Consider the following 10,589-nt stretch of genomic DNA (forward strand, 5'->3'; position numbering starts at 1 on the left):
CAGGCTTCGCCAGCTAAGGCGGCGGGAGACGCGTAGGCCACAAGGAGGAAATGGGACAGAGTGCGACAGAGAGGCGGCGGCGGCCCAGGGCCGGGCCGAGCCTCCCTCGCGGGGCAGCGAGAGGGAAAGGGGCCCTCCCGGCCGCAGCCTCCCCCACTTCGAGAGGTAGCTCCAACTTTCCTCCCAGCGCACGACGTCGCACGGGCCGCGCGAGATTCCGAAACTTTGTCAGCCCTCGCGTCGCCCTAGGCCCGCTCCAGCGCTCTGCGCCGGCCGCTAACCCTCGTCTCTCCCAGACAGCTGCCCAAGCCCATCCACCCCGCGGGTCGACCAGTGTTTACCTCAGACCGAGGTCGAGGCGCTCGGTCCGGCCGCGGCCCCACAGTAGGTTCCCAGGTCCCAGTCACTCCGCTGCCAAGTTCCCCAACATGGACTCCTTCGTCCGCTTTGTGGTGTTACAGGGTCTCTAGGACACTGACTCCGCTGGCTCGGTCCGGAGGCGGCGGCGAAGCAGGGAGCGACCCAGGTTGCGCTGCTCCGCGCGGCTTAAGCCACCGCTACTCCCCCTTCCCCCGCCTTGTCTAGCCTCCTCCCTCCCCTCCCCTCCCTGCGCGTCTCCCTCCTCCTCCCTTCCCTCGCTGTCGGCGCGCTAAGGTGACGACGGCGGCAGCCGGACTCGCCACATTCTGCTTACTCGCTCGCTCTGGCCCTGAGTGCATGTTCGTAGTACCCAGTTGGGCCGCAGGGGGGCGCTGGCAAACTGCTGTTTGAGACCGAGAAGCGTGGTGGGTGGAGTCACGTCACGCGGCCTGTGAGCGGGAGGAAGGGCAGCTGCGCTGGAGGGGCCTTCTGGGAAACGTCCTTCCAGCACCGCCCTTCGCCCACACTGCGGATGGTGCGCATGCGCAGCGCGTGGACTTTGGCCTCTGCCCTCCTTTGGCAGTTTTACAGGCTGCGTCGCGGAGGACAATGAAAGAGGCTTTAAGGGAACTGGACAGGAAGGATTTTGCGCAGGGTGTGCTCCTTATCTTTATGGTAATCTGATATTGAAAAGAGTGTCCGCATGTTTGCGGTGGATTGAGTGTTCACCTGGCTGCGCTGCCCACCTGAAATGCAGCCTGTGGAGTGAAGAGTCGGCAATTTGGAAGCCCACCTTTCCTCCTTTCTGGTGGGCATTTTTTTAGATGCCAGGGGGAGAGCTTTCCCGCCTGACTCCCCGAGCCTAGGGGCTTTCCCATGTCTTAACCCCACATCACAAAATTAAATTTGGGCCAGGTGCGCGGTGGCTCACGCCGGTAATCCCAGCGCTTTGGGAGGCCGAGGCTGGCGGATCGCTTGAGCTCAGCAGTTCGAGACCAGCTTGAGCGACGTATTAAGATCTCGTTTCTACAAAAAATAAAATTAACCGGCCGTGGTGGCGCGCACCTGCGGTCCCAGCTCCTCGGGAAGATGAGGTGGGAGAATCGCTTGAACCCGGGAGGCGGAGGTTGCAGTGAGCCGAGATCGTTCCACTGCACTCCAGCCTGGGCGACAGAGCGAGACCCTGTCTCAAACAACAACAAAAACTTTATCATTATTTACTTAAAAGGCCTCCGCGTTGTGGTTAGATAGTGACGTGTGTGCCATCCTCCACTTTTTCCCCCGGCGGGTTGTTAAATGTTTTGTTTTACCTCGGAGGTATTTTGACTTTTTCAAAGTCACTGATTATTTAACCTCCTAGTTTCTCTTCTCGTCGACTGCAGCAAGCTTCCGGTTGCTCTGCCTGCCCTCAGTGTCCCCCATCTACCAGCTGACCTTCCAGTCCTCCCACCCACGCCCTTGTCCTGCTTGCGGCTCCCGCAGGACTAAGCTCTGCTCCCCGCGCGCGGCTCACCCAGGTCCCAGTCGCTTTCAGCCGCGCGCTCACACGTTTTCCTGTCGCCTGCCCCCGTTCTGTTCGCGCGTGCTGCGCTCTCCAGCCACCCTGACGCCTGCCCGGGATGAGTTTCCTCCCCACTTTGCCGCGGCCCCGCCGACCGACCGCTTCACTGCCGCCTTCCTGCATTCTCGCAGACTACGTTGCGGCGTCCCCTGCTCCCGCCCTGAGGACGTCGCTTTTCTGGCACTTTCATCCTATGCATTCTGTTGAGTCTGCTCACTGTCTCACACTGTGAGGATTGGGACAGTGTCTTATCACTTTCATAACAGCGTCTGGCACTTGCTGAAGGAACACATGAATGGCGGTCTTGTCGCTGTCAAAGTCTTTGGAGTTTTTCAGTGTACTGTTTTTGATATGGGGTTTGGGAATTTAGGTGGCTTTACTGTATTTGGGATATTTGAGGGGAAAATGAGCTAGAGGCGTTAAAATGCTTTCTTCTGATGGAACAACAAAATTCTTATGAAGGACCTTTCCCTGTCAAAATCAGAGCAAATAGTAAAGGATATATACTATTTGGATATAAAGAATGATTATAAAGGATGATTGTTAAGAGAAATAGTGAAAATTAGTGTGGAAAGCTATAACCAGATCAACATTTATGAGCCATCCAACAGAATAAGGGTGTAGCTTTTTTATGTATACAATCTCTAGGATTCACTCTAGAGAGTGTAACTCCTGATATGGACTCCTGGTGCAACATGCTTCTGTGTATGTTTTATATTTTAAAAAATCTATATATATTTAAAATCTAAATATATTTTTAAAAATCTCAGTTTTGTTTTAGGAAAGTGTTTTTTCTCAAAATTTAAGCCCAAATGATAAAATCTGCCAAATAGAAAACTATTTTAAATTGATAATAACAGTATAGTTTCATCAAAACTAAAAATACCAGATCTTTTGATGTATTTGTTTCCTAGCAGAGAATTAAGTTTTCACGTTCTTACTGTTGGCCTCCTAGATATCATGTGAGCATGTCTTAAGGAAAAATGCTCTTAATGCCACTGTGGTTTCTACCTTCATGTGCAAATAGAAGAGAGTGGTGGTTTGTAATAGGCCATTCTTTCCAGAGAAAAGTTCATGTGTATTTCTGTATATGCAGCATCCTCCTTATTATGTTTGGATGTAAAGATTTATTATTCTCTCTGATGTTTTCATATTTTTTAAATTTACAATATAATAAAGAGGTACAGAGTTCTAAATCAATAAAAGATGGGCTATAAAATGGAGGAGTAAAGTTGATATATGAACCATCATTGTCAACATTTTAGATTTGATTTTAACTGTAAAAAGCACAAATGATATGCATCATAAAACAGCCTTAAACTGAATGTCCACTTGGTGTGTTGCACTTTACCAGGCACTTAAAATATCAGTCCTGTCACATAGCAACAGAAACCCACAGTGGCACGTTTAAAAATGGGTAATCAACGTATTGATTTTGATGGAGCTTTTTCAGAAATAACTGCTATTTTAATTTAACTTATAAATAGAATACAATATCAAGTTCAAATTAAGGGAGGAAATCATGCTGTAAATATACTGGATTGAAAAACATGGTTCTGGCCAGGCATGGTGGCTCATGCTTGTAATTCCAGCACTTTGGGAGGCTGAGGTGGTTGGATCACTTAAGGTCAGGAGTTCGAGACCAGACTGGCCAACATGGTGAAACCCCATCTCTACTGAAAATACAAAAATTAGCCCGCATGGTGGCATGTGCCTGTAATCCCAGCTACTAGCTACTCAGGAGGCTGAGGCAGGAGAATCACTTGAACCTGGGAGGCGGAGGTTGCAGTGAGCCGAGATGGCGCTACTGCACTCCAGCCTGGGTGACAGAGTAAGACTCCATCTCAAAAAAAAAAAAAAAGAAAAAGAAAAAAAAGAAAAACATGGTTCTAATACTGTCACTTAACACCTTTTCAGTTTTGAATAAATCACCTAACTTTTTGGTCTTTAGTTTCTATAAGAGGACATTTTTATTTTAATGATCTCTGGCATTTTTATGGCAATAAAAATGTGTGAATTCAAAGGACATACTGTCTGAGCAACATAGTGAGACCTAGTTTCTACTAAAAATAAAATTAAAAAAATGACCAGCTGTGGTGGCGTGCACTGGAAGGATTGCTTGAGCCTGGGAGGTCAGGGATGCAGTGAGCTGTGATCACACCACCACACTCCAGCCTGGGTGACAGAGCGAGACCCTGTCTCAACAAAAAGGGGTGATGTAAATTTTAAAATTCATGTAAGGAAAACATGACCAAATATACAATATCCACGTGAGGAAAAAATAGTTTGCAGGAATTTTTTTAAAAACCAGTGGTGGCTGGGCATGGTGGCACACACCTGTAGTCCATCTACTTGGGAGGCTGAGGTGGGAGAATCGTTTGAGCCCAGGAGGTTGAGGCTGCAGTGAACCATGATCATGCCACCTCACTCCAGGCTGGGCAACAGACTAAGACCCTGTCGCCAATAATAATAATAAGAATAGTTATTTCATGTCACAACTATGAAGTATTTTAATCAGGATGATACTATCCAATTATTTTCCATGTGGAATTAAATTTATTTCAGCAACAATTAATTGGACATCTATTTGGGAGGTGCTTTGAGCTTGTATATAAATGAATACAGTGTCTCACAGACAGTATAGTGGTTTCAAATATGTACAAAGACAAAGTTGCATTCCTTGAAAGAAAATAGAAAACAAAAAACAAAGGAAGAATATAAATATAAAAAGAATATAAAATAATAAAAACAAAGCCTGGGGAGGGAGATGGAATAAAAGAAGGAGAGAATAGAAAGGAAACTGTGATGATTAATTTTAGATGTCAACTTGACTGGATTAGGAATACCTAGAGAACTGGTAAAACATTATTTTGGGGTATGTCAGTGAGGGTGTTTACAGAGGAGATTGGCATGTGAGTCTGAGTGGACTACAAGGGGAGGATCCGCCCTCAAAGTGGGCAGGCACTATCCAATCAGCTGGGAGCCTGGGTAGAACAAAAACAGTCTCTGTCTTCTGGAACTGGGATACACTCTTCTCCTGGCCGTGGACATCAAAATACCAAGCTCTCTGGCCTTTGGATTCTAGTGCTTAACACCAGCACCCCTGCCATCAGGTCTTCAGACTTGGACTGAACCACACTCCCAGCATACCAGCATCTCCAGCTTGCAAATAGCCTGTTGTGGGACTTGTTAGCCTCCATAATCACATGAGCCAATTCCCCTAATAAAGCCCCCCTCATGTGTCTATATATCCTATTAGTTCTTTTTGCCTCATATCTAAAAATAGTTCAAATTCTAAGACTACTTCTTCATTTCAGTTTATATTTACTCTTTTTAAAGGTAATAAGCATTCATTTTAACAATTTAAATAACACAGAAGTATGTAAAATATACTCAGAAGTAAATAAAGAAAAAGACTGTTTTCTTCTCCGTATCCCAGTCCTAGACAAAACCAATGTTAAAGATTGAAGTTTCTCTCAATACTTATTCTAATGTTTTAAAACACTTGGAAGTTTTCATTTGTATATTTACAAATAATCACGCCATATATATTTTTCTTCAACTCTTTCTAACTCAGCAGTTAATTATAAATAGCTCATTCTTTCAACTAGCTGCATAATATTATGTAGAATTAATGTACCATAATTTTTTTTTTTTTTTGAGACAGGGAGAACTCTCTTTGGAGAACCCTAATATAGGAACCAAAGACAATTTCATTAAAGAAGTGGTAACCCAAACCAAATACAGACAGGTATTATTCCAAATTTGAAGACTCTAGTACACTCTCAGGTTGGTCTTCCATCCCCGACACCACCTCTTCTACATGTTTATCACTCCCCTGAAGTCTCAACCTCACAGCCACTGCTGCTGAGCCCCTTAACCCTGAACCCAGCAAAGGATCTCACCACAGTCATTATAAGAGAGAAACTCCTCAACTTCTTTCCCTCTACCGACAAAGTCTATCTAGAACTGTGTACATCCATGACTACTTGTCTTCCTCTATCACAGAGGAAGAACTATCTAGTCTCTTGTTTAACCCATTCATGCCTGAGGTTGCAATTTTTTTTATTTTTTGAGACGGAGTCTCGCTCTCGCCCAGGCTGGAGTGCAGTGGAGTGATCTCGGCTCACTGCAAGCTCCGCCTCCCGGGTTCACGCCATTCTCCTCCCTCAGCCTCCAGAGTAGCTAGGACTACAGGCGCCCGCCACCACGCCCGGCTAATTTTTTGTATTTTTAGTACAGACGGGGTTTCACCGTGTTGGCCAGGGTGGTCTCGATCTCCTGACTTCGTGATCTGCCTGCCTCGGCCCCCCAAAGTGCTGGGATTACAGGCGTGAGCCACCGCGCAAGGCCACAATTTTTTGAATTTTTGCAATCAGACCTCGGCGATGATCTTGAGCAGTAGGATATAAATAACTCCCACATGCTTAGCGTTCCAATAATGGAACACTAGGCATGGCTTAGCTTTCTACTTGTGCTGCAGATCTGTTTTTTTCAGACTTTGATTTATAGACCATTCACATTTCTAACAATTTGAAAACAGATATAGGGCTGGTAACTTTTTAATCTTGACAAATAACTATATATTTGTAAAGTCCTTCCATATTTGTCACCATGATTTCTTAAGTACATTTTCAAGCCAAAAAAAACTAAATTTTATGAAATACTATTCTGTTTGTTTACATTTCCCTGTGGAACAGTGAAGCCATCACAGCCCTTGTACATTGGGGCTCTGCTCTGAAACAGCTCCCTTCTGTCCCCTCAGGATGTGGCTCCGTGAGTTAGTTGGTCTTCGATAGGTTTAATGTCTCCTTTACTAAAGACTAACTTATGTCTCTTTGCTCCAGGTTTAAACACAATTTAAATTCTAAGACTACTTCTTCATTTCAGTTTCTATTTACTCTTTTTAAAAGGTAATAAGCATGCATTTTAACAATTCTAACAACACAGAACTGTATAGAATATATTCAGAAGTATATAAAGAAAAAGATCATTTTCTTCTCCCTATCCCAGTCCTAGACAAAACCAATGTTAAAAGATTGACCTTTCTTTCAATGCTTTTTCTAATGTGTTTTAGAAACACATAGGAGGTTTTTATTTTTATTTTTACAAGCAATCACACTATGTATGTTTTTCGGCAAATTTTCTAACTCAACAGTTAATTATAAATATTTAGCTTATTTAGCTCATTCTTTTAACTAGCTGCATAATATTATGTAGTATTAATGTACCATATATATATATTTTTTTGAGATCTTTCTCTATCATCACCCAGGAATGATGATAGCTGACTGCAGCCTTGAATTCCTGGACTCAAGTGATCCTTCTGCCTCAGCTTTGCCAGTAGTTGGCACTACAGGCATGAGCTACCATGCCTGGCTAATTTTTTCTTTTTTAACTTTTGGTAGAAACAGGGTCTTGCTATGTTGCCCAGGCTGGTGTCCAGCTCCTGGCCTCAAGTGATCCTCCTGCCTTAGCTTCCCAAAGCACTAGGATTACAGATGTGAGCCACCACACTTGGCCTGTTGTACCATAATTTTTGAAACTATTTCTGTATTGATAAATAATACAGATTTCTCCAGATTTTATGTCATTACAAGTGATGCTGGAATAAATATCCTTATATGTATATCTTTTTTAAATTATGCATTTTTGTGTAGAATTGATCCTAAAAGTGAGATTGTCAAAACCATAGATACGTGCCTTTAAAAATACATTTTAATAGATACTGCCTGCAGAGGGTTGTGGGATTTTATGTTTTGTTGGGATTTTTTTGGTAACAGTTTTCAGATGAATTAGTCTTCTTCCTCTCTTAATCTGTGGGTTACCAATGGAATTGGGTCCTCCGTTGGCTTCTACATTGGACTTCAACTCAGGACTGGCTAACAAGAATGTAGTACCCCACTAGTTTTAATGTTCTGTAGTTCAGGGATAGGTACATGAATCAATTCAAGCCAAGCAGAATTACATCGAAGACTTTTGTTCTATGCTGGGCTTGTCGATGTGAATATGTAAGCTCCCTTCACAAAGAGAGACCCTTACTGAGAATGACTTCTCCTCAGAGAACAAAAGTAGACATGAAAAGAGACTAGGTTCTAATGATACCATTTAGGTAACCTAAATACAGCTGTGTCTGGACTTTCAATTATGTGACTTAATAAGTAACTTTTTTGAGTTGGGTTTGCTGTTACTTGTGACCAATGCTGTTATGACTGACACACTGCCAGATTACCTCTACCTCTAGAATTATTTTAGTTCATTTTCCAATCTAAATGTAGAAGAAACCCATTTCCCACACCCTTGCCAGGACTAACGCATGAATCTTAAATTTTTGTCAGTCTGATAGGCATTAAATGCTATTTCACTGTTGTTTCAATTCGCTTTTTGCTGACTGCTAGTGCGGTTGATTTCTTTTCGTATATTTTTGGACTGTTCATAGTCGTTGTATTTTTGTGTTGAGTTTTCATCCTTTTCTGATCTGTCTATATGATCCCTTGTGTATTACAACTCTTAACTCCTGGCATTCCATATGTGCAGGTACTATTTTTTTTTTCATAATCATCTTTGGACTTTGCTCATGGTAGCTTTTGTCATAAGAAGGTTTTAATTTTTATATTGTCAAGTCTGACCTGGAAAAAGTCACTGTGACCTCATACATGCCAAATACAGTGAACTCTTTTTTTGTTTTGTTTTGTATTGTTTTTTTGTTTTTTGAAAAGGAGTCTCGCTCTGTCACCCATGCTGGAGTGCAGTGGCACAATCTTGGCTCACTGCAACCTCCTCTGCCTCCCAGGTTCAAGCAATTCTCCTTGCCTCAGCCTCCCGAGTAGCTGGCACTACAGGCATGCACCACTATGACTGGCTAATTTTTGTACATTTAGTAGAGAAGGGGTTTCACTATTAGTTAGCCAGGCTGGTCTCAAACTCCTGACCTCAGGTGATCCGCCCACCTTGGCCTCCCAAAGTGCTGGAATTACAGGTGTGAGCCACCACACCCGGCCTACAATGAACTCTTTATAGTCCTCAACAAGCAATTATCTCATATTGAGTACCTACTGTGTACCGGGCTCTACACTAGGCATGTTGTCCTTGCCCTTAAAGAAATTACGGTTTAGTGCAGCAGTCAAGCAGATGAACATAATTAGTATGTAGTTGATGCTGATGTTGGGTTTGTGTTAGGGGCTGAAATATGTCCCCTGAAATTCATGTTTTGAAGTCCTAACTCCCAGTAATGGGAACATAACCATATTGGATATAAGGTCTTTAAAGAGGTGACTGTTTTAAAATGAGCTCTTTAGGGTAGGCCTCAATCCAATATGACTGATGTCCTTATAGGAAGAGGGGATACAGACACAGACATGTGTGCACACAGAAGGAAGACCATAAAAACAGAGACAAGACAGCCATCTACAAGTTAAGTAGAGAGGCCTCTGAAGAAGCAATCCTGCCAGCACCTTGATCTTGGACTTGAAGCCTCTAGAACTGTGAGAAAATAAATTTCTGTTTGTTGAAGCCTCCCAGTCTGTGATTTTTTTTTATGGCAGCCCTAGCAAACCAATAGAGTTTGCCTCCACAACATCCCTTCCATTCTAACCCCTTGTGTAGTAGTCATGTGATTGTCGGCGGGGGCAAAGAATAAAACACAACACCCTCTCCCTCTCCCTCCCCCTCCCCCTCTTCCTCTCCCTCTCCCCTTTCTTGGGTCTCCCTCTGTTGCCGAGTCCCTCTCCCTCTCTCTCCCTCTTCTTTCCTCGGTCTCCCTCTGTTGCCGAGGCTGGACTCTACTGCCGTGATCTCAGCTCGCTGCAACCTCCCTGCCTCGGGCTCCTGTGATTCTCCTGCCTCCACCCGTGGAGTGCCTGGGATTGCAGGCACGCGCCGCCCCGCCTGACTGGTTTTTGTATTTTTGGTGGAGATGGGGTTCTGCCGTGTTGACCAGGCTGGTCTCCAGCTCCTGACCTCGAGTGTTCTGCCCGCCTCGGCCTCCCGAGGTGCCGGGATTGCAGATGGAGTCTCGCTCACTCAATGCTCAATGTTGCCCAGGCTGGAATGCAGTGGCGTGATCTCGGCTCGCTACAACCTCCACCTCCCAGCCGCCTGCCTTGGCCTCCCAAAGTACTAAGATTACAGCCTCTGCCCGGCGGCCACCCCGTCTAGGAAGTGAGGAGCGTCTCTGCCTGGCCGCCCATCGTCTGGGATGTGAGGAGCCCCTCTGCCCGGCCGCCCCATCTGGGAAGTGAGGAGCGCCTATGCCCGGCCTCCCCGTCTGGGAAGTGAGGAGCGCCTCTGCCCGGCCACCCCGTCTGGGATGTGAGGAGCGCCTCTGCCCGGCCGCCCCGTCTGGGATGTGAGGAGCGCCTCTGCCCGGCCGCCCCGTCTGGGATGTGAGGAGCGCCTCTGCCCGGCCGCCCCGTCTGGGATGTGAGGAGCGCCTCTGCCTGGCCGCCACCCCCTCTGGGAGCCGCCCCGTCTGGGAAGTGAGCATCTCTGCCCAGGTGCCCCGTCTGGGAAGTGGGGAGCACCTCTGCCTGGCCGCCCCATCTGGGAAGTGAGGAGCGCCTCTGCCCAGCCATCCATCATCTGGGATGTGAGGAGTGCCTCTGCCCAGCCACCACCCCGTCTAGGAAGTGAGGAGCGCCTCTGTCCGGCCGCCCCGTCTGGGATGTGT

General features: G+C 45.7%; 1 protein-coding gene across 9 annotated transcripts in view, besides 8 other annotated features; it reads right to left on the reverse strand.

The window, feature by feature from the left end:
* Positions 1 to 2,048, reverse strand: part of SCAF11 (SR-related CTD associated factor 11) — a 72,929-nt gene extending 70,881 nt beyond the window's left edge. For 4 of the 9 annotated variants that reach the window (XM_047429883.1, XM_047429880.1, XM_047429878.1 and 1 more), the window contains exon 1: positions 1,874 to 2,048. In XM_047429883.1, the coding sequence (XP_047285839.1) occupies positions 1,874 to 2,044 (171 nt within the window). In that variant the 5' untranslated portion in view covers positions 2,045 to 2,048. Of the gene's footprint in view, positions 1 to 341; positions 564 to 694; positions 810 to 1,873 lie in introns of those variants that run through there. The other 5 variants (NM_004719.3, XM_047429881.1, XM_011538984.3 and 2 more) reach the window with 2 other exon arrangements.
* Positions 107 to 206: a silencer, noted in NCBI's record as "silent region_4379". NCBI's record gives its function as "represses an Ori minimal core promoter by ATAC-STARR-seq in GM12878 lymphoblastoid cells {active_cell/tissue: GM12878}" and the evidence as "EXISTENCE:reporter gene assay evidence [ECO:0000049][PMID:35858748]".
* Positions 267 to 476: an enhancer, noted in NCBI's record as "active region_6230". NCBI's record gives its function as "activates an Ori minimal core promoter by ATAC-STARR-seq in GM12878 lymphoblastoid cells {active_cell/tissue: GM12878}" and the evidence as "EXISTENCE:reporter gene assay evidence [ECO:0000049][PMID:35858748]".
* Positions 267 to 998: a biological region, named in NCBI's record as "H3K27ac-H3K4me1 hESC enhancer GRCh37_chr12:46384079-46384792".
* Positions 285 to 998: an enhancer, noted in NCBI's record as "H3K27ac-H3K4me1 hESC enhancer chr12:46384079-46384792 (GRCh37/hg19 assembly coordinates)". NCBI's record gives its function as "activates a minimal SCP1, AML or CMV promoter by ChIP-STARR-seq in primed H9 embryonic stem cells {active_cell/tissue: H9 hESC(primed)}" and the evidence as "EXISTENCE:reporter gene assay evidence [ECO:0000049][PMID:30033119]".
* Positions 547 to 596: a silencer, noted in NCBI's record as "silent region_4380". NCBI's record gives its function as "represses an Ori minimal core promoter by ATAC-STARR-seq in GM12878 lymphoblastoid cells {active_cell/tissue: GM12878}" and the evidence as "EXISTENCE:reporter gene assay evidence [ECO:0000049][PMID:35858748]".
* Positions 717 to 916: an enhancer, noted in NCBI's record as "active region_6231". NCBI's record gives its function as "activates an Ori minimal core promoter by ATAC-STARR-seq in GM12878 lymphoblastoid cells {active_cell/tissue: GM12878}" and the evidence as "EXISTENCE:reporter gene assay evidence [ECO:0000049][PMID:35858748]".
* Positions 927 to 996: an enhancer, noted in NCBI's record as "active region_6232". NCBI's record gives its function as "activates an Ori minimal core promoter by ATAC-STARR-seq in GM12878 lymphoblastoid cells {active_cell/tissue: GM12878}" and the evidence as "EXISTENCE:reporter gene assay evidence [ECO:0000049][PMID:35858748]".
* Positions 1,477 to 1,676: an enhancer, noted in NCBI's record as "active region_6233". NCBI's record gives its function as "activates an Ori minimal core promoter by ATAC-STARR-seq in GM12878 lymphoblastoid cells {active_cell/tissue: GM12878}" and the evidence as "EXISTENCE:reporter gene assay evidence [ECO:0000049][PMID:35858748]".
* Positions 2,049 to 10,589: the final 8,541 nt, after the last annotated feature.

Source organism: Homo sapiens, chromosome 12 (genome assembly GCF_000001405.40).
Source record: "Homo sapiens chromosome 12, GRCh38.p14 Primary Assembly".
In the NCBI taxonomy this organism is placed as follows: Eukaryota; Metazoa; Chordata; class Mammalia; order Primates; family Hominidae; genus Homo; species Homo sapiens.